At 48.1% G+C, this 23,583-nt stretch overlaps 1 long non-coding RNA gene across 1 annotated transcript; it reads right to left on the reverse strand.

Annotated features, from left to right (window-relative positions):
* Positions 1–788: 788 nt before the first annotated feature.
* On the reverse strand, positions 789–20,349 carry LINC02489 (long intergenic non-protein coding RNA 2489). The gene is made up of 3 exons (NR_183622.1): positions 20,303–20,349; positions 16,487–16,623; positions 789–2,463 (listed from the first exon to the last, which is right to left on the reverse strand). It is a non-coding gene; the product is annotated as a long intergenic non-protein coding RNA 2489 (long non-coding RNA).

The following is a 23,583-nucleotide window of genomic DNA, read 5'->3' on the forward strand; positions in this document are numbered from 1 at the left end:
TCAGTAGGTGCCTCGTAAATGTGAGTGTTCCTGCCTCTTCCCTTTCTTCCTTCTTTTTTCTGGATCCCCAGAACCTCCACTGACCACTTTACCACCTAGCTGCAAGGGCCCCCAGTTCCCAGAACCCTCGCAGGCTGCGGCCCGGCCTCTGAGCCTTGCAGGAGACAGCAGTTTCACCGTCTTTTGCTTGTGGCCTGCCGTGGGCCAGCACCCCCGAGAGCAAAGGCCGCAGAGCTAGGAGGCTCAGGCCCCACCCTCTTCGTAAACACCAGTTGGGCACCAACTGACCTCAGGAGGGAAGTGCTCCACTGAGACCCTCCCCTTCCAGCCCTGCCTGCCACTGTATGTTCCAGGGGAAGTGCCAGACAAATCTGGCATCCTTGCACCCAGGTCTCCCCCGTCCTGGAAATAGTCACTTAGAGCCAAACCTCTGGCTGAAGGTAGAAAGGAATTTAAAATCCCTGAGCAGGTATCCCCTACCCTCACAAAATATCACCCTGGGCCATCCTAGACAGGGCAAGGTCTAATTTAATTTAATTTTTAAATTATTATTTGTAGAGACACAGTCTCGCTATGTTGCCCAGGCTGGTCTCAAACTCCTGGGCTCAAGCAATCCTCGGGCCTCAGCCTCTCAAAGTGCTGGGATTACAGGCATGAGCCACTGTGCCTGGCCTAATTTAAATATTTTTAATGATCATGATGATATACATAAATGGGACTTTACTGTTACTGTTTATTTCTTTAAAATAAAGACAGGAATTAAATATAACAAAAATTAATCATTTTAATTTTGAGCAGTGGCGATGTGTGTGTGTTTTTATTATTCTTTATAACATGCTTTTCTGTCTTGTTAAAATTTCTCTAAGTAGAAACATTTTGAAATAAATAAGATTAGCACAGGTTTATTAGAGAAATATTTAGAAAATACCAAAAGTATAAAGGGGAAAATAAGAATCACTAAAATCTCTCCTCTGGAACCAGACCACCAATATATCAGCTTATTTCCTTCTAGTTCTTTTTCTAGCATACATTTATGTTGTTTAATTCTTTTTATCAAAAACAATGGCATCATATTGTTGAATAACCTTTTTTCTCTTTAACACTATATTTTGAACAATTTCTCATGCCCTTATTTACTTTAGAACACTTATTTTCAGTCTTTTTTCCCATGGAATCATGAATAAGTTATTTGTTTTCTATTTCCTTTTTAAAATATTTTTTGTTTGTTTGTTTGTTTCTTATTTCAGATCTTCATTCTGAGAATAAGGTTTTTTTTGTTTTGTTTTGTTTTTTTGTTTTTGAGACACAGTCTCGCTCTGTCGCCCAGGCTGGAGTGCAGTGGTGGATTCTTGGCTCACTGTAACCTCCACCTCCTGGTTTCAAGCAATTCTCCTGCCTCAGCCTCCCAGGTATCTGGGATCACGGGCACATACCACCACTCCTGGCTAATTTTTGTATTTTTAGTAGAAACGAGGTTTCACCATGTTGTCCAGGCTGGTCTCGAACTCCTGACCTCAAATGATCCACCCGCCTTGGCTTCAGGTTTTTTTTATTACTGCAATACATATGGATCTCATTAAGTCATACACTTTATACCTTTTATTATTTTTTCTTATTTAAAAAGTAATACAGTTTTGTTGAAGAAAAATTAGAGGCCGGGCATGGTGGTCCACGCCTGTAATCCTAGCACTTTGGGAGACTGAGGCAGTGGATTGTTTGAGCGCAGGAGTTCGAGATCAGCCTGGACAACATGACGAAACCCTGTCTCAACAAGAAATACAAAAATTATCCAGGCGTGGTGGCAGGTACCAAGTCCTAGCTATTCAGGAGGCTGAGGTGGGAGGATCACCTGAGCCCAGGAGGTCAAGGCTGTGGTGAGCCATGATTGTGCCACTGTACTCCAGCCTGAGTGACAAAGTGAGATCCTGTCTCAAAAAATAAAAATAAAAAAATAGAAAAATTAGCAAATACAGATGAACAAACAAAAGGTAAATAAATAAGCACATGAAATCCTTATAACCTACCATCCTGAAATAATCTCTACTAATACTTTAGCTTTCAACATTCCTGTCTTTTTTCTATGTACATATGGATGTATATAAACACACATTTTAAAATAAAATCATCTGGGTTAAAAGTTAAAGACTTAAATCACATAAAAGAAGATAAAATTGGAATCATACAATTCATAATCGTTTTCATTTGCATTTTTGTTTACTTAATATATCTCATATTGATTAGGATTATTTCAGCTACAAATGACAGAAAACCCAAAGTAACAGTAGCTGAAGCACATTTAATTTCGCTCTCTAGTAAGTGACATCCAGCAGGAAGCAGCCCAGGCTGGTTCTGCAGCTCAGTGACCATCAGGGACTAGACTCCTTCTAACCGATGCCCTCCATCTTCCACACATGGCTTCCACCTCAGGACCCAAGACGGCTGTTCATATCCACACTCCGGAAACTGAAGAAGGAAGAAACAAAGAAGAGATCAGCTTTTCTCTCCAAGGACACTGCTATCATCTGAACACATCCCCCTCAAATTCATATGTTGAAACTTAATCACCAATGTGACAGTATTAGTAGGTGGTGCTTTTAGGAGGTGATTAAGTCATGAGGGCAGAGCCTTCATGAATGAGATTAGTACCCTTATCAAAAAGGCACAAGGGACCTGTTTTCCCTTTCACCACATGAGGACGCAGCAAGAAGGCGCCATCTTGGAAGCAGAGAGCAGGCCCTCACCAGATACTGAATCTGCTGGTACCTTGATTTTGGACTTCCCAGTCTGCAGAACTGTGAGCAATACATTTCCATTGTTCGTAAATTACTCACTCTAAGGTAATTTTGTTATAGCAGCAGGAACAGTCTAAGAGAGATACTTCCTGGAATTCACATGCACCTCTTCTGCTTATATCCTGCTAGCCAGAATGTAGTCCCATGGCCACTGGGAAATAGGCTATTTATCTAAGTAGGGGTTCTGTTACTATGGCAAAAGGGGAGAACACATATTGGGGAGCAACTGGTATCTCTACCACACATCACAAACATCTTTCCAGTGTATATAGTTTTGTATCCTGCTTTCTTATATTTTGTTGAACATTTCCCCATATCATTAAATATTCTTTGAAATTCTTTTTTTTCCTTTTGTTTTTAATGAGACAGGGTCTTGCTCTGTCACCCAGGCTGGAGTGCAGTGGCATGATCATGGCTCACTGCAGCTTTGACCTCCCAGGCCCAAGCAGTTCTCTCTCCTCAGCCTCCAGGGTACTTGGGACTACAGGCACACACCACCACACCCCATTAATTTTTGTATTTTTTGTAGAGACAGGGTTTTGCCATGTTGCCCATGCTGGTCTGAAACTCCTGGGCTCAAGGGATCCGCCCACCTCGGCCTCCCAAAATGCAAGGATTACAGGCATGAGCCACCGCGCCCAGCCGAATATTTAAATTCTTAATTTTTCTCAGTTAAGATTTATACTTATTAGTTAAGAATATATAAATTCTTAATTTTTAATGGCTGCTTAATATTCTGTTATATATATGTAGCATCACTTATGGATCTTATTACTTGATCTCTGGGTATCAAGAGATACTCAGATTACTATTATTACTCTTGCTAAATAAGCCTCTTTTATGTTTAAAACTTGTCAGAGAAAGAGATGCCAAGCTTTCCTCTCCACTCTGTGGGTGCCCACCTCAGATATTTTGCTGGGGAGTCAGGGTGGTATCTGCCTGGAAAGCTGGCTGATTTTCTTCCTGTTAACAAATGAAGTTTTTTAGCAACTGGTATACCCTGCTGCTCCTGTTGCAGGGGAAGTCATAGGACAGGGCAGGGCCTGGTGGGCAGTTCCACTGTAGGTCGGGGAGTCCAGGGGCCTCAGGAAGTAGCGGGGAGTGGGGCAGTAAGAGGAAACTACAGACTCTCAGGACCAAGGGAGTCCCTGGCCCTGGAAAGTCTTGGGGGACTCAATGGGGCCCATTCTTTCTTTATTCGGGTTCAACAAATGCTTTTGAGCCCCTCACAGGGCTGTGGCCTATGTGCCTGGCCGTGGGGAAGTCTCAGAGAAGACGTGGTCCCTTTCATGCTCTTCAGGAGGGCAGCTAATTCTAAATTCTCATTAGAGTTCAACCTGGTGAGTTACCTAAAATACAGAATCCTGGGGACCACATCCAAAAATCTGATGCAGTAGGTGTTGGTGGGCCTAGACTTTCAAATATCCCCAGGTGACCCTGATGAGGGTGATCAGGGACAGACCATTCTAGGGGGAGAAATATCACTCAAAGCCCTTGGAAGAAACCTCCTAAGCCAGGCAAACATGGAATCTCCATTTGCTCAGTAGATAGCTTGAACCTCATTTAAGCCTTAGGCTATTATAGAATAATGGGGACACCAGTCAGGCAGACCTAAACTTAAATCGCAGCTTCATCCTTCGGTAACTGAATGACCTCAGGCACATTAGTACTCTGTAAACCTCAGTCTTCTCATCTGTAAAATGAAGATAATCATAGTGTTTCACATGTGAAATTAAATGTTAAAGAGCATAGCAGAGTGTCTGGCACTCAATAAATGCCAGATAGTATTATTAAATTAATTAAAATTAATTTGTTAATTAAAATTGCCTCTACGTGAGTAATTACAGCAGAAGACTGGACACAAGGTATGTAACACATCTTGTACACTGCCTGACTCATGGTGGTGGGTATTCAATAAATGCTTATTATTATTATTATGAACACTCTCACATACCTTTTAACTCTAGGCCTTATTATCTCTGCATCTGTATCTAACACACAATTTTATCCTCCCCATAGAAATCATGGCCAGGTGCGGTGGCTCACGCCTGCAGTCCCAGCACTTTGAAAGGCAGAGGCAGGTGGATCACTTGAGGTCAGGAGTTCGAGACCAGCCTGGCCAAATGGCAAAACCTCATCTCTATTAAAAATACAAAAATAAGCCGGGCATGGTGGCTCGCACCTGTAGTTCCAGCTACTCGGGAGGCTGAGACAGGAGAATCGCTTGAACCCAGGTGGCAGAGGTTGCAGTAAGCTGTGATGGGGCCACTGCACTCCAGCCTGAGCCACAGTGCTAGACTGTCTCCAAAAAAAAAAAAAGAAAGAAAGAAAGAAAAAGGAAAGAAATTATGGCTGGATGCGGTGTTTTACGCCTGTAATCCTGACACTTTGGGAGGCTGAGGTGGGAGGATCACTTGATCCCAGGGGTTTGTGACCAGCCTGGGTGACATGGCAAAATCTGGTCTCTACAAAAAAATAATTTAAAAATTAGCTGAGCATGGTGGCATGCATCTGTAGTCCCAGCTACTCAGGAGGCTGAGGTAGGAGGATTGCTTGAGCCCAGGAGGTCGAGGCTGCAGTGAATTGTAATCATGCCACTGCACTCCAGCCTTGGCAACAGAGCAAGACCCTGTCTCTAAATAGAGATTAGATAGATAGATAGATAGATAGATAGATAGATAGATAGATAGATAGATATTGTTAATTTGGGGGCTCTGGCCAGGCACGGTAGCTCACGCCTGTAATCCCAGCACTTTTGAAGGCCAAGGCAGGCAGATCACTTGAGGTCAGGAGTTTGAGACCAGCCTGGGCAACATGGTGAGACCCTCCCCCATCTCTACTAAAAATATACAAAAATTAGCCGGGCATGATGGCGCATGCCTGCACTCCCAGCTACTCGGGAGGCTGAGGCAGGAGAATCACTTGAACAAGGAGGCGGAGGTTGCAGTGAGCCGAGATCACGCCACTGCACTCCAGCCTGGGAAATAGAGTGAGATCCAGCTCAAAAAAGAAAGAGGGGGGGCGGCTCCAAAATGTCGGCTTAATGTCTGTTCCTAGTGCCTGCCCCAAAATGAAAGGGATTTTTCTCAGCTCCTTTCAGAAGGATGTGCAGGTGGCAGGGGGGTAAGATGAGGGTGAGTGGGAACCTCAGGTTTATACTTCCAACTCCCTGCTTTTGGGAGAGCCTATACCTGGGCTGAACTCCAAGGGCCAGGAGCTATGGAGGCCTGAGGCTGCTGTGAGGCAAGAGGGAGGATGCAGGGTCACTGTGGATAATGATATTTTCAAGTGCTCATGGACGGCATGGTTGCCATGGTAATGCTGATGGCTCCAAACAAGCTGAGGCCTCTCTTGAGTTGTGAATCAGGTTCAGCTTTATTTATTAAAAAAGAAAACCAATGCCCCGACCTGTGAAGGGCAAAGTGAAGCCGCAGGTGGAGGCCACAGCGTGAATCAGCAGGTGCGTCGGCCGCGAGGCACACAGCCCCTGAGCCTCCTGACGTCAGCTGGCCCAGCCCACCACAGAGCCTGGAAAAACCCACAGGGGCAGGTGGGGAGGCCAGCATCGCAAACCATGGCCCAGGAGGGAAAATACAAACAGAATTCACACTGCTGGGTGGAAACCACTTAATAGGAAGCAGGTTCCATTTTCTCAGCTTTGGCTCAAAGACCAGACTCAAAGGACTCTACCTCTCTGAGAGTCCTCAGGGCCCAAGGAAATGGGGCACCCCCAGCCCAACCTCAGCAAGTGAAGGTCAAGGCCTGGCCCTGAGATGGCCCATGCGGAGCTGACCACCCAGCCGTGTGACACAGTAGGAGTGCCCTTCCTAATGTCCTAGGGGAAACCAGTTGGCCCTCTGAGAGCAAGAGGGTCCTGGAAAGACAACAAAGGCCACAAAAATGCTCTCACATGGCCTAAACTTATGGGTAGCGCCCCTCCTGCTGGGGAGTGGGTAGAGACTTCTGATGGACCCTGGCCTGTGTCATCCCCCCATAAGGAGGCCCACAGTAACAGTAACAATGACACACTGGAATCCTCTTCTGTGGCTTGGACACTGTCCCTGAATCCTAGACTTACAGGTATAGGGGCCATAAAACCTACTGGTTTGTCTGGGTTCGCTGTTGATCCCACTGATTGAGAAGAAGCCTCTGATTTCTTCCCCTCCCTCGCGCCAATATCCTGGTGGACCCACTTCCTAACCAGCACTGGACTCCAAGCCCTTGTCTCCACCCACTGCCTTCATTATTTGGCAGAATATTATAGGGGGTAGGCCAGTGGGTGCTGAAGTCAGGGTGGATGGATTTAAGTCCTCCTTCTGCCACTTATCTGCTATGTGGCTGAGCCTCCATTCCTCGGTCTGTAATACAGGTGTGATAATAATGACAGCACCACTCACATGGTAGCACTGAGGATGAAATGTGATAATATCTGCAAGTGTTTAGTGCAGAGCCTGGCTGGCACATAGTCAGTGCCGGGTAACTGTTTGCCATTGTTAACTTTACTTCAGGCCTCATCATATCCCACCTGGAGAACAGCAACAGCCTCATAACACCACAGGCTGGTCTTGCTCACCTCCAGTCTGCTGTCCACACCACAGCAGAGTGGTTGATCTAAAATGCATCTGATCATGTCATTAGCCTCCTTAAAAATTGAACAGTGGGCCAGGCACAGTGGTTCACACCTGTAATCCCAGCACTTTGGGAGGCCAAGGCAGGTGAATCACTTGAGGCCAGGAGTTCAAGACCAGCCTGGCCAACATAGTGAAGTCCCGTCTCTACTAAAAATACAAAAATTAGCCAGGCATGGTGGTGCGCACCTGTAATCCCAGCTACTTGGGAGGCTGAAGCAGGAAAATGAATTGAACCTGAGAGGCGGAGGTTGCAGTGAGCTGAGATCACACCACTGCACTCCAGCCTGGGCAACAGAGTGAGACTCTGTCTCAAAAAAAAAAAAAAATTAACAGTGGCTCCCATTTGCCTTCAGGATAACTCATAGAATTTCTTAGAGTGCCTAAAGGCCCTGACCACCTAGCTCTTGGCTACCCTCTCCAGCCCTGTATCTTACTACACCCTTCCATCCTTGATAAGTTTCAGCCATACCCGTTAGCAGCATCTCCAAGGTGCCAAGCTCTGCCATACCTCCAGGATTTTTGCCATGTTCTTCCCTTTACCCAGGATGCCCTTTCTCTTTTTGTCCAGCTAGAAAACACCTGTTCATCCTTCAAGACCGCATCAAGATCCCTCTATACTGTGAAACTTTCCTGTCCTCCCCTCAAAAGCAGAGTAGATCATTGCCCCCTCTGAGCCGCTTTGGTACCATGGCAAAACCCTGTCTCTAACACAGCTGTGGTCTAGGTGCTACTGACACAAGTGAACAGGCATATGCACACACATACACGAGACAGGTGGCATGAGCATGTCTTGCTCCATAGGGTAGAGCAGGGGACCGTAAGAACGTGTCTAGGCCGGATACGGTGGCTTATGCCTGTAATCCCAACACTTTGGGAGGCCGAGGCGGGTGGATCACCTGAAGTCAGGAGTTCGAGACCAGCCTCACCAACGTGGTGAAACCCCGTCTCTACTAATAATACAAAAATTAGCCAGGCATGGTGATGCATGCCTATAATCCCAGCTACTCAGGAGGCTGAGGCAGGAGAATCACTTGAACCCGGGAGGCGGAGGTTGCAGTGAGCCAAGATCGTGTCATTGCACTCCAGCCTGGGTGACAAGAGCAAAACTCTGTCTGCAAAAAAATAAAAAATAAAGAAAGAAAGAACGTGTCTGAGCCTCTAAGCAGCCAGGTTAAGAGCCCTGCATGGGAGTAAGGACAGATGAAATCAGAGAGCAGAGCATTTCTCTGCTCACACCACACAAGCCCTGCTACACACTAGGGCTCATATGATCCTCACCAGGCAGGGCCCTACAAACAAGACAGGTGTTGTTTTCTCCCCCACTTTCAGATGAACAAACTGAGACTCAGAGAGAGTTAAATGACTTTCCAGGACTGTAGAAGTGCCAGAACTGAATCCATCACTTCCCAAGCACTGTGCATGTAGCTTCTGCCAGGCTTTCTGCTAGGCACAGGGGATACTGAGGTGAATGGAACACAGTCCCTGCCCCTCAAGGTGGCCAACTGCATAATGGCAAAAGCACAGTTTCTCAAGTCAGACAGAACCTGTGTTTGAATCTCGACTTCCCCACTGACTAGCCTTGTGAGCCTGAACTGGTTCCTAACCTCCACATCTCACATTTTGAGTCTCAGATTCAAAACATAACCTAGATCAAACCAGCCTCGTGCTCAAACCCTCCAAAGGCATCAGCTCAGAGTAAAATCCACATATGACCCAGTCACTGCTCCCATATCCAGTTCATTTCCTCTTTCTGTTCATCTCTCTTCCCACCCTCAGATGCCCTGGCTCCTGGCTATGCCTAAAGCAAGACAAGCATCTCCAACCTTTGATCTTTGCCCTTCTCTTCCCTCTCCTGGATGCACTTTCTCCAGATGGACACATGGCTAACTCCCTCCTGCCACTCAGGTCTCCAGCTTCTCAGAGAGGCCATCCCTGGCCAGATGCAGTGGCTCACAACTGTAGTCCCAGCACTTTGGGAGACCAAGGTGGGCGGATGGCTTGAGCCCAGGAGTTCGAGACCAGCCTGGGCAATATGGTGAAACCCCGTCTCTATAAAAAATACAAAAATTAGCCAGGCATGGGCCAGGGATGGTGGCTCACACCTGTAATCTCAGCACTTTGGGAGGCCAAGGTGGGCAGATCACTTGAGGTCGGGAGTTTGAGACTAGCCTGGCCAACATGGCAAAACCCTGTCTCTACTAAAAATACAAAAATTAGCTGGGCACAGTGGCCCGTGCCTGTAGTCCCAGCTACTCAGAAGGCTGAGGCACGAGAATTGCTTAAACCCAGAAGGCAGAGGTTGCAGTGAGTTGAGATCGCGCCACTACACTGCAGCCTAGGAGACAGAGTGAGACTCCCTCTCAAAAAAAAAAAAACAATAAAAAAAATTAGCCAGGCTGGTGGCACATGCCTATAGTCCCAGCTGTTCAGGAGGCTGAGGTGTGAGAATTGCTTGAGCACAGGATGTTGAGGATGCAGTGAGCTATGATCATGTCACTACGCTCCAGCCTGGGCAACAGAGTGAGACCCTGTCTCAAGAAAGAAAAAAAAAGCCAATCCCTGACCATGGCATCCAAAACAGTGGCCCTGTCACTATCAACTGTACTCTTCTTCAAAACACTGTCTCTATATTATGCAACCTGATACTACCTGTATTCGACCATTTGTTAATGACCTATCCCTCCTATTAGTACACAAGGGTACAGATACACCCATTTTGTTTACTCCTCTGTGCCTAGAACAGTGCCTGGCACATAGTAGGAGCTCAACAAATTTTTGTTACACAAATAAATCAATGACCCTCACTTTCCTCCCCTTTAAAATGATACATACAGCCACATAGTTATAAGAATTAAATTATGTTGGCTGGGCTCAGTGGCTCACACCCGTAATCACAGCACTTTGGGAGTCTGAGGCGAGCGGATCACTTGAGGTTAGGAGTTTGAAACCAGCCTGGCCAACATGGCGAAACCCTGCTCTACTAAAAATACAAAAATTAGCCGGATGTGGCGGTGGGCACCTGTAATCCCAGCTACTTGGGAGGCTGAAGCAGGAGAATCGCTTGAACCTAGGAGGTGGAGGTTGCAATGAGCCAAGATCACGCCACTGTACTCCAGCCTGGGTGACAGAGCAAGACTCCGTCTCAAAAAAAAAAAAAAAAAAAAAAAAATGAAAAAACAAACAAACAAAAACGTTATTTAAAAAAAAATTAAATGATGTCATAGTGGAAGATGCTTTGCCTGGTGCAGGGGAGCTTAGTGACACGCAATAATGGTTGCTGTTTTACTGTCATTGTTCATGCTGTTGTTGTTTTGGTGCTTGCCATCTCAAAGCGGGGAGACAGGTGTGGAAATAAGTAATTTGTGATAATAAAGCTCTTATCCTGAGCCCTCTGCTCCACTTTGGGGTGTGGGCAGCAGCCCCTCCATCTGCCTGAACAGCAGGGCCTGAAACTTTTATCTGGACTGCCAAGGTCACCCTCTGGGTCTGGCCCTGATGATGGGAGACCTCTCTCTGGGGCCTTCCTGGGCTGGGGGCAGTGGGCAGAGCCCAGCCCAGGCCTCAGAAACCCGTGATTTCCCCCAAGAGCAGGCCCCACATCAAAGCCAATCTCGGAGGGGCGAGGCCTCAGGATAAATGGAAGATTAAAGAAGGCTCAGTCTCCACAAGGCCACAGGGAGAGGCAGCCAGCAGGCGACCACAGCGGAGAGGCCCCGACACAGCCCTGGCAGTGGCCATCTTGGGGGGCAAGAGGAGAGAAGGGGGCCCAGTCCTCGGCAAGGGGAGCCAGGAGGACACCTTAGCAAAGGGGGTGCTCCTTGTGATTAAATCTCGATGCATCTCTCCATTCCATGCCCGCTTCTTAACCCTTTCCCAGCCAGGCGGCAGCAGGGAGCTCAAGATAGGAAGCCCTGGGCCTCTCTTCAAGAGACTTGGTTTGGTCATTGGGTTTGGTCATTGGGGTTTGCTCTTTCCAGCAAGGGAGCCTGTAATGAAGACCTCCTGGCCCCAGTCTTCCTCCCCAGGGAAGGTCTGTAATTAGTGCAGGAGGCGAGGCTGGGGAAGCGCAGACAATGTCATTTGAACCAGGATGAGACAGGGCTCAATTGCTAGTCTGCACTTTTTTTTTCTGGTGCCATTTCATATACAAAACTCCAGCAAACTTAACCCTTTCCTGGTTGGGCCCGGATGCCAGGGTTTCAGCTTGGCACAGCATCCATTCCTGTGCCTAACATGCGCCATTCTCACCTCCACCATATACACCCCAGTTCAGGTAAGCCATGGTTTCAGACTTCCTCAACACCAGCCAATCAATCACCCAACAAGCCTTTGACGAATGCCACCAGATGTCAAGCACCCAGGGGAGGGGACCCAAGGGAAAATCTCCCTTCCTGTCAGCAAGGAGCTGACGATCCCTCTAAGCAGCAGGGGAATGCCCACTCGAAACAGGTGGCAGGCAATGGAAGGGAAAGTGGCACCTGCTGAGGACCAGTGCAGGGCAGGGAAGGAAGCTGGGTGGAGGCAGAGTACACACGATAGGTGCAGGAAGGGTTGGCGTGTGGTAAGCACTCTGTACATATGTTCCAAGGGAGATATCTTCCTGGAGCAGAGCTTTTCTGCAATCAGGGTCTGAGGGCTGAACCCACAGAGACACGGAAGGCGGGCAAAGCCAGCCCCAGGTAGAGATGGATGTCAGAGCTATTGAGACAGGCAGAGGCTACTGCCTCCTCCCCCATGCTCCTGGAGCACCCATTCTGAATCCCTGAACTACAGTTTATCTCACGCTATACTACAACCTGCCTGATTGCAGATCTGGCTTCTCAACTAGATTGCAAGCAGCCGGAGGGCTGTGTCTATTCACCTCTGGTCTCGTGGGCCTCAGCACTGAGCCTGGCACACAAGAAGTATTCAATAAATGCTCTTTGGTTGTTTTTTTTTAAGACTTTTTATTTTTATGGGGGACAGAGTCTCGCTCTGTCGCCCAGGCTGAAGTGCAGTGATGCGATCTTGGCTCACTGCATCCTCCACCTCCCGGGTGGAAGTGATTCTCCTGTCTCAGCCTCCTGAGTAGCTGGGATTACAGGTGCATGCTACCATACATGGCTAATTTTTGTATTTTTAGTAGAGATGGGGTTTTACCATACTGGTCAGACTTGTCTGGAACTCCTAACCTCAGGTGATCCACCTGCCTTGGCCTCCCAAAGTGCTGGGATTACAGGCGTGAGCCACTGCGTGCAGCAAATAAATGCTCTTTGAATAGATGGTTGGGCTTGCATGAGATGGTGAGAGAAGTGAGGAAGAATCCACCTCTACGGACTTTCCCAGGGAGGATGCAAATTCTGGCCCCACTTCCCTTGCAAATCACATCACAGTATCTCTAACATGTAAAGTTTAGCTTCTAGAAATCAGTAAGACCAACCACCAATTTTTAAAGGTTGAAGAACGTGAATAGAGTCTACAGAAAAGGAAACATAAATTGTCCTAACACATCTAAAAAGATGCTCAATCCTACTCAAGATAAATGCAAATTTAAAATATACTGGAGGCTATGGCTGGGCACCATGGCTCACGCCTGTAATCCTAGCACTTTGGGAGGCCAAGTCAGGTCTCCTCACCTGAGGTTAGGAGTTCCAGACCAGCCTGACCAATATGGTAAAAACCCCATCTCTGCTAAACATGGTAAGGTGTAAATGAGTGTACTCCCAGCACTTTCGGGGGCTGAAGCAGGAGGATCACTTAAGGCCAGAAGTTGAGACCAGCCTGGGCAACATAGTGAGACCCCATCTCTACAAATAATAATAATAAATTATCTAAGCATGGTGGTGCATGCCTGTAGTCCCAGCTACTCATATAGCTGAGGTGGGAGGATTGCTTGAGCCCAGGAGGTCAAGGCTACAGTGAGCCATAGCTGTACTGCCGCACTCCATCCTGGGCGACAGAGCAAGACCTTGTCTCCAAAAAAATAAATAAAATACACTGGAAATCATTTCTTATTTATCAGATTAGAAAATTCCAGGCTGGGCACAGTGGCTCATGCCTGTAATCCCAGCATTTGGGGAGGCCGAGGCGGGCGGATCACGAGGTCAGAAGATCGAGACCATCCTGGCTAACATGGTGAAACCCCGTCTCTACTAAAAATACAATTAATTAGCTGGGCTAATTAATTGTAGTCCCAGCTACTCTGGAGGCTGAGGCAGGAGAATGGCGTGAACCCGGGAGGCAGAGCTTACAGTGAGCCGAGACTGCGCCACTGCACTCCAGCCTGGGGTACAAAGCGAGACTCCGTCTCAAAAAAAAAAAAGAAAAGAAAACTCCAAAAGTTTGATAATATCCTCTCTTTGAGAGACTGTAGAACAACCAACAATGTCGTATATTGCTGATGGGAGTGTAAATTGGTACAAGATATTTGAGAATACTTACAACATTACAAATGCATGTTCTCTTTGACCCAGGAATCCTACTTCTGAGAATTTATCCTACATGCAGTGCTTGAACAAGCCTATCTTTGCAGCACTGTTTGTTACAGTAAAAAAACTAGAAACAATCCAATTGTCCATTAATTGGGGTCAGGTAAATAAATGATGGTACATTCATACAATGGGTGGCTATGCAGCTATTTTAAAAAAAAGGATGAGGAAGTTCTCTGTGTGCTAATACAGGAAGATCTTGAAAATAGATTAAGTGGGGGGAAAAGATGCAGAACAGTGTGTATAATACTTTTCAATTTAAAAAGAAAGAGAGAGGGAGTCCTGGTATTGTGGCACATGCCTGATAATCCCAGCACTTTGGGAGGCAAAGCAAGACAATCAGTTGGGGCCAGGGGTTCAAGACCAGCCTGGGCAACATAGTGAGACCCTGTCTCTACAAAAAATTAAAAAGTTAGCTGGGCACACCTGTAGTGCTCAGCTACTCAGGAGGCTGAGGCAGAAGGATTGCTTGAGTCCCTGAGTGGCTCACGCCTGTAATCCCAGCACTTTCGGAGGCCAAGGCGGGTGGATCACGAGGTCAGGAGATCGAGACCATCCAGGCTAACATGGTGAAACACCATCTCTACTAAAAATACAAAACATTAGCTGGGCATGGTGGCGGGTGCCTGTAGTCCCAGCTACTCGGGAGGCTGAGGCAAGAGAATGGCATGAACCTGGGAGGTGGAGCTTGCAGTGAGCTGAGATCGCGCCACTGCACTCCAGCCTGGGTGAGAGCGAGACTCCATCTCAAAAAAAAAAAAAAAAACAGAGAGAGAGAAATATCTAAACACACACACACACACACACACACACACACACACACACACACACCATAGAAGGATGCCCAAGCAAGTAATAAAATTGATTATATGTTAGTTAAAGGGTGGGAACTTAGTGGTTAGGATATAGGATGCAGAGATGGGGGGATTACTTTTTGTTGTATTCTTTTTTTATTTTTTAAACCATCTGAATGCATTATCTATTCAAGAAATTGAAAAAGACACACACACACAAACTTCCACCTAGGACTGGGGATTCTTGGATTCTTCACAAGTTGCTGGGTAAATGTGATTCTACCTCAGCTGGCTGTCCCTCTGTCGTTTTCCCTCCCTCGCTCCCACCAGGTTTTCCTGAGACCCTGGATTCCAGTAAACGGTCCTGCCATCTCAACTCGTGCCTCCAGATCATGGACTATGTGTGACCTTGGGCAAGTTACTTCATCTCTCTGGGCCTCAATAAAACAGAGTAATCCTAGTACCTGCCTCCAAGGGTTATGGTAAGATGTAAATGAGGAAACTCATCTTGGCACCAATAAAAATTCAAAAAAAAAAAAAAGAAAACTCATAGGATGTGTTTAGCATATATCCTGGGACTTGATCAATGCTATATTGTATAAATATATAAGATTTACTGTTCATATTCTTTGCCAATATTTTTATTGGATTGTTGGTCTTTGTCTTATTGATTTATAGGCGCTCTATTGATTCAGAAGATTGAGTTATGCATTGCAAACTGGCAGAGCATTGAAAAGTAACAAGACCCAATAAATGGCAGTTTGTGAAAATCACTATATATTTCTGATTATTTCTCCTCCAAGCCATGCATGCTGATGTTTGAAGGGGTCCCACATTGAAGACCTTGGGGCTCATCTGGACAGCCCTCAAGGAGCAGAGTCTTTTGTCACTGGCTCTGTGTCTCTTAACCAGTCTCCTCTGGGTAGTCAGAGATTATCATTCTCCTAGGTGCTTCCAGCTGCAGCCCTCAGAACAACAACCTTCCCTTTTACTCTAGATGAGGCTCATTCTCTGTGTCTTCCCTGGAGGTCCCCAAGTTTGTGGGGTATGTGTGTAATACCAGCTCCTACAAGAAAGTGCTGTAATCCCAGCACTTTGGGAGGCCAAGGCAGGCAGATCACTTGAAGCCAGGAGTTCAAGACCAGCCTGGCCAACATAGTGAAACCCTGTCTCTACTAAAAACATGAAAACTAGGTCAGGCACAGTGGCTCACGCCTGTAATCCCAGCACTTTGGGAGGCTGAGGCGGGTGGATCATAAGGTCAGGAGATCGAGACCATCCTGGCTAACACAGTGAAACCCCGTCTCTACTAAAAAATGCAGAAAATTAGCCAGGCGTGGTGGTGGGCGCCTGTAGTCCCAGCTACTCGGGAGGTTGAGGCAGGAGAATGGTGTGAACCTGGGAGGTGGAGCTTGCAGTGAGCCAAGATCGCACCACTGCACTCCAGCCTGGGCAACAGAGCAAGACTCCATCTCAAAAAAAAAAAAAAACAACACAAAAATTAGCCAGGTGTGGTGGTGCATGCCTGTAATCCCAGCTACTTGGGAGGCTGAAGCAGGAGCTTCACTTGAACCCAGGAGGTGGAGGTTGCAGTGAGCTGAGATCTCACACTGCACTCCAGTGTGGGCGACAGAGCAAGATTCCGTCTCAAAAAAAAATTCACTAATGAGTTCAAGTAAAGCCTCCCCAGGAAACCCTAAGTCTTCATTCCAGAAGACAGAGAATCCTGGCGGGCTGGTCTGAAGGGACACATTGAGGGACTGGGTTGCAGAATACACACCCTTGGGGCCCCTCACCCTGACCTGTGGACACTTGGTGCTTGCTTGCCATTCAGCCAAGGAAAACATTCGGCTCCTTTGGGCCTACATCCATTCATTTTTCTCCAGAGAGTTGGCCCCCTCTTCAGTTCTGGAGGCTCCCGAAATGTTCCTCAGAGCACCTGGAATTGATATTTGCATTAACTAGTGATTGCCAAGGCCAAGCCTGCTGGGTTTCTGTTAGTTCTGCTCAGCCACAGAGGCTGGAGCTGGTCCCTGAGAATGGCCCACGGGGCCCCCTTTCTGTGCATGAAAAGGATGGAAGTCCCCACCTGGACCTGCTCCTCAAAAAGAGGAACCTGGGTTAGGGCCAATGGGAGGTAAAGGCTGAGTCTGAAAAGGCCTCAGCCTCCTCCCAACTCTCTGGAAACCCCCCCGGTTACTATGCAATTTATCCAATCCCAGAGTCTGACGCAGCAGAAAGATGAAGTCGGAGGCCAGATCAACTTTCCAATACTCCCGCTTAATGGCTGTGTAATCCTTAGACAAATAACATAACCTCTCTGAGCCTCACTCACTTCACCTATAAAGGCAAAAATATGTGTGTATTTCTGTCTCCCTTCTAAAGGCATTTGAGAAACCCTACAGACAATGGAATTCGATGGTTGTTAATGGAGGAAAAAGATATGGAGGAAAGGAGAACAAACACAAGATGAAGGCGGGCTGCAGTGAGTGTGTGGAATGAACCTCCTCTTCCTGCTGCAAGAGGTGGACCTCAGCAAATTGATCTCTGAGCTTCCTCACAGCTCAAGTAAAGAAAGTAATGCAATGAACTACAAAACCCGGAGTGTCCCTCAAGTTAAAAATAGGCCTGCTGCTCAGAAGCAGCCAGCTTTGATGGGCCCTGAAGTAAAAGAAAAGATGCTTCCCCAGACCTTCCTAAAGGGACAAGGTGGCAGGTAGAGGTGAAGGATATGTGTATAGTGGGCCCCTCCCCATGTGGGGGTAATACAATCTCCCAGGGTCTTTGTGAGTCTGAAATAAAATGAAATGCTTGACAGTGTCACCTAGAGTGGCTGGCATACAGTAGGTGCTTAATATGTGCCCATTTCCATCCTTCTTCCTACTCTGTCTGCTCCCAGGGAAGGGATATCCATTGATCTCACAGGCATGGGAGGATTCAGCTCTTCAGTCATTCAGCAAACATTTATCGAACACCTGGGTTAGGCAAAGGTGGGAATCCTCCTCAACCTAGCTGGTATCTTCCCTGCTGTCCCCAAATCCTTGGCCTCAGAAGCTCTCCCCCTCCCACTGCCACCCACCCTTCTGGGTCTCAGCCCCTGCCTCCTTCCCAGCATGGCTTTAAGCCCCAGGGAGCCCTGCTCCTGTGGCTTCTCCCTCATTCCCCGCATAGCTCCAGGCTGCTCCCTTCGACCACCACATTCATGGAGCTGGGCCACGTGCAAGAGCACAATTAATATTCCACTCAGTCTCCCCGAGCCCTGCTGCCTACCGGGAGAAGATGGAAACCAGATTTGCAGCCGCACGCGCTGGCATGGATGCACACAGAGAGGCAGCCCGCCCCTAGGTGTGAGCTGGCACATACACATGTGCAAATGTGGAAGCCCCACACTTAGATTCACACCTCCAGACATCCTCGGGGAGGGAGGAGCTGTATGCACACCTAGCTCCCAGCCAATCACTGCCCAGGGGACACTCAGACTCCTCACACACAAAGGCCGTATTTGCTTTCTGGGCAGAGGGAGACAGAATCATAGCATTTCAGAGCTGGGAGGATGGGATTTCAGAGACCAAGCTAAGACCCTCATTTTCCAGGGAAGAATCTGAGGCCCTGGCTTAACCTTGACTGTTATCAGTCCCCAGTGAAGCACATGGTGACTGGATGCATTTTAGCAAAGCCTTTGATTTAAATGCCTGATGCTGCCTCCCTCCTTCCTGGGGACAAGCTACTTCAGTCTCACCAGCCTTGGAGGTTGGGGAATCTGAGGCTCACGGTGGGTTGGGGGGATAAGGGCTTGGCAAGAGCAGGAGGTCGTAGGCAGAGTCAGGCCTCCAACTTTCCGTGCCCCTGCCCTTCCTCTTAGCCCCATAGTTCCAGCTCTGCCAGCCCTAGGTGGGGCAGGATTTGCAGGGGAGTGTCCCCAACAATATGAGGACTCAAGGCAGGAGGAAACAAGTGGCTTTGTTGGTTTCTCTCCTATTACTGGAGACTTCAAGAGCGAGGAGATGGAGGGTGGTGGTATGCCTGAGTGCGTGTCTTCTGGGGAGGGAGCCAGGTGGCTGCGTTCTAGAGATGTCTAGAAGCGGAGTTGGAGCAGGTGATTCAGGCTGGAGGGGAGAAGGGTGACTTGAGAACAGGAGGAGAGCAAAGCAGGAAGCGGGTGGAGCTGTTTCCCAGATGGCAGGCAGACAGAGGGCCAAGGGGCGGGCCTGCTTCCAGTCCAAAGATGGGACGGCAGAGCAGAAATTCAGGGAAAAAGAAGCAAAAATAATTACCAGGAAAAGGAGCTGGAAGGGAGGCAAGTGTTTTCTTAGTCTTTAAGGAACTTCAGTCTTCAGAGAATTTAAAGAGGAAAAAAAAATCTATCTTAAGGCCTTTCTCCAAGGCAGGGTGGTTGGTGATTCACCCGCTGCTGTGGAAGGCCCTGGAGAAAGGCCCTCCCCTCCAGTCCTGCCTCTGCCCAGTGAGCAAATTCAGTTCAACTGGGGTGAGTGGAAAGGGCTCTGGGTGCGGAGCCGGGAGGCCCTGGTTTCAGTCCTATCTGCCTCATGAGGCTGGGTGACTTAAGGCAAGCCTCTGATGGCCCCAGGCCTTGGTTTTCTATAAAACGAGAAGAGGCAAGTCATATAAACTCTCTGAGCCTTGGTTTTCTCATCTGCAGATTAGGGATGATAATAATATCATGTTGATTCTAAGGTGTCATCAATTACATGATGCACCACTATTTTATGTACTTCAGGAAGGAAAAAACATCATCCATTAAACTATGACAGACCATCGATCATAAGACACATTCTGATTTCAGAGATGTTAAAACATTGAGGAAATGTGCATCTCAGAATCAGTGAAAGACGATACTTATCTCACAAGCTTGTTCCAAGAATTAAACAAGATGATAAAAAGTATTTAGTGCCTGGCACAAAGCAAGTACTAATAAATGTCCGGTATTTTTATGGTTCAGGGTTGGGTGGAAAGGGATCACAGGCCAAAGGGGTGGAAAGGAGAGCCCTAAACTAAGTGAGAGCTGGGGTTCTGAAACCCACCCTGCTCCTGGTAGAGTGCCACCTCAGGCTCCATGTCCAGCCCCAGTGGGGGGCACAGGGAAAGCAGCCATGCAGCCCAATTTAGGGAGCTGCTAGAGAACAGAGGGCCCCGTCTGCACCCCGGAAGTCAGTCTAATCTCCAGGATGAATATGTTTTCATTTCTCAGAAGTTCCTGTTAGAGTGTGCCAAAGCATTTTTCCCTTTACAACCCAGGCAAACAAGACAAGTTTACTTTGGGTGACCTTATTATCACCACCCAGGGCCTGCCTGCTGAGTGTAAACACCAGCTTGCACCCTCCTGGAGGCTCTGGGCAGAAGCCTGGATAATCAAAGTACCAGGCCTCCTGAGCGGGGAGGCCCTTCACACTCCCCCGACCCCTACCCCTGCTCCCCAGGCCCTGTCCTGGAAAGGGCACATTGGAAGATCCTTGGAGAGGATGAAACCCTAGAGGGCATCAACACCTCGCCCATTTCATAGCTATGGAAACGGAGACCCAACGAAGGGCAGTGACTCTACACACACACACACACACACACACACACACACACACACACACACACCCCATTCTACTCACAGCTCAGCCTGGCAGGAGCCTCTCTCTCTGCCTGATCCTCAGTGTCTGGAACAGGCAAGAAGCTTATCTCTGTCCTCTTTCTCCTGTGCGTCATTGACTGCGTTGGGATGCCTTTATGCATGAAGCTTTTGCTTCACAGTTGGAACAGCTCATGGAGAGCAGCAACCAGGTGTTCCTGAGCCCGTCACAGAAGGAGCTGCCATCAGTGCCTCTCGTGACCTGCAGTATTTGGGCCTGTGGAGGTGGTGTTTGCAGAGCCAACGTTGGCCTCCATCCCCTAACTCCTTCAGATGTAAAGGAGGGGCCTTGGTGGGGGGTTGGGTTGTGGGACCAGGCCCAAGAACTGGGAGGGAGGGAGCAAACCCTCCCTGCTGGGTTAGAAGGCAGACTTAAGACCCAGGGAGACATCTCATTTCATCTCCTGGAAAATCTTTAATAGACAAGAGAGAAGGGATGTGTGACTGACCACACCCTACAGAAGGCTTTAGGTGGGCACAGTTCTTTCCAGTCCTGGCACAGAATAGAGCCTGGGCTTCAGTGTGGCCATAAGTACGGGGTTTGTGTAGGGCATTGGGGTTTCGCCCTCATCATCTCACTCCTGCGCCACTGCCTGTTCTTCCCAGTCCGGCCTTCCTCCTCTTTCTCTTCTACTTGCTGTTCCCTCTGCCTAGAATGTTTTCCCTGCATTTTGCCCCATAAATGACCCCAGTTCTTGATTCAGTTCTCAGTTCACATGTGGCCTCTTCAGAGAGGCCTTCCTTACCCAAAGAGTCACATCACACTATTTTATTTTTTCATAGTCCTTACCACTCTCTGAAATCATCTTCTTAACATTTTTTTACCCACCCACCTCTGTACAAACACGTTTACTCTGGGATCCAGGTTCTTAATCACTGCTGTGTCTCCAGTGCCTAGTCTCGGAACCATTCACAGTAGGTACTCAATAATGCTTGTAGAATGTGTGAATAAATCTGCGATCATCCTCATCTCTGCTGGACTTTGCCATCCTCTTCATTCCAGAAAGAAAATGATCACACTCCTCTGTGTGCCCGGCTCTACACTGCCTGGTCTCCCTCCTCCCCCTGCCACCCCTTTCCCCAGGATTTCTCTTGGGAGATTCTGCCTCTCAGACTCCGCAGAAGCTGCTGGAACCAGAATGGCTCCCCAGGATTATTTTCAATGGTTTCCTGGGGTGTTCACCTGGGTAAGAATAAGGAAAGAGAGGACACTCTAATCCTACTTATCTAAAACTATATAATCTTCCCCAATCACTTAAATGGTACCTGTGTCTCTAATTACAGAGCAGGCTGGGAGGAACACAGGCACAATTTCCAGCCAACCTCAGGCGGGGGGCCACTTTTTCTCCTCCTGGGGGCCTGTAGGGACTATAGCTTAGTAGCCAGGACTCCAGACACCTGCTGCTGGAGCTCACTCACGATAGCCTGTTCACCCAGCCAGAGACCCCTCCCCTCCCCCTGAGAAGTATCAGCCACATCCCAGTGTTTGAATGGTCCCCATTTGGCCAGATGTGACGCATTTGGGGAAGACACCCATGGTCCCAGCACCCTAATTCTACCCGCCACTGTTGTGAAAGTGAATTGATTTCTTTTTGGCCCAGCCTTACTTCTCGGAGTTGCATGGCTGGTGAACTGGTCCCCAGAGCATGGGTTATAATCCTACTTTCTCAGGAGCAAATTCTACAGGAGGCCTGGGAGCTAACAGTCATGTGACAGCCTGGAAGGTCAGAACTTCACTCTCCAGAACTATGTCAACTAGATCATAAGGTGGGGAAAAGCCACGTGACTGCCTGCCTGCCAGGGAAGCAAACAACTGCTGTCTCAGCCTTGGTATGAACCCTTCTCCCACCTGGTGCTGAGAGCAATTTTGGTGACATCCATGGCTTAGCTGCAATGACATCTCTACCTCTTAAAGGCCTTTGGTTCCTGAGCTAATTAAACGTCCCAGACAGAAAGGACATGCTTAATCTTATTAATAACTTCTGGTCAGGAAACAGTGTGCCCAGCCCTCTGAGGGAGTGCCTTTCTGAACCACCTCCATTTGTTCAGGTGCTTGGCGATTGCTATCAGCCCTTTCAAGAGATTAAGTTTGTACGCAGGAGCAAGCCACTTAGGTAATGGATCCCGGGGCCCTGGGAGTGTCTGGTGACTGTGGAGTGTGCAGCCAGCCAGCACCTTGGCTCATTCAGATTCCAGAACCACTGTTTTCCAACTTCCTGCTCTTCAGAACCATTGGGGGGTAGGGAGGGACTTGACTATCGAGGAGAAGAGGGGGACTCTCCTATCTCTGGCTGTTCACCCAGCCCTTTCACACAGAGGGAAGCTGGGGACTGTCCTTGCCCTGAGGAGCCTCACAGCTCAGTGGGGTCACAGATACAAACAATGTGAGCAAATAAGGACAATACCACATTAGACTGGAAACAGTGGAGGTGAGCACATGATGCCCTGTGGGTGTATACCGTTGGTAACTGCTCCAGCCTGGGGGTTCAGGGAAGGCTTCCTGGAAGAAGAAACAGGTGAGATGAGAAATGAGAGTTACAAGCTGAAAATCGGCTGGGCATGGTGGCTCACACCTGTAATCCCAGCACTTTGGGAGGCCAAGGAGGCCGGATCACCTGAGGTTAGGAGTTCCAGAGGAGCCTGGCCAACATGGTGAAACCCCGTCCCTACTAAAAATACAAAAATTAGCTGGGCGTGGTGGGGCGCGCCTGTAATTCCAGGTGCTCAGGAGGCTGAGGCAGGAGAATCGTTTGAAACTGGGAGGCGGAGGTTGCAGTGAGCCGAGAACACACCATTGCACCCCAGCCCGGGCAAAAAGAGCGAAACTCCGTGTCAAAAAAATAGTAATAATAATAAATAAAATTTTTAAAAAGCTGAAAATCTCCCCCGTTGAGGGGAGATCTGTTGAGGGGACTGTGAAATGGAATTCCCTGACTGGGTTTCGTGCAGGCTTTAGTATAAGGCTGGAAGGATGGAAATAGCTCCCTCATCAATTTACGGGACAGTGGTTGGTGAAGCCTTAAAATGCCAATGTTCCAGGAACACTGTTATCGGTTCCAGGACTATTGTTGCTTTAAGCCCCCACCTTGAGCATTCAGAGAAGAGAGATTACTAAGACGAAGTTGCAGATGTCTCTTTAAAAAAGGAGAGAGGATTCCTCGAGCCACGCCCTCTTCTCATTAATATTAAATTATTGTGAATATTGATGTGGGGGCGTGGCGCCTTGGCCAGCTGGGCTAGCCAGCCAGGGGTTCCCGGTTTCAC

The sequence above is a fragment of the Homo sapiens genome, chromosome 11, assembly GCF_000001405.40.
Source record: "Homo sapiens chromosome 11, GRCh38.p14 Primary Assembly".
Taxonomy (NCBI): domain Eukaryota; kingdom Metazoa; phylum Chordata; class Mammalia; order Primates; family Hominidae; genus Homo; species Homo sapiens.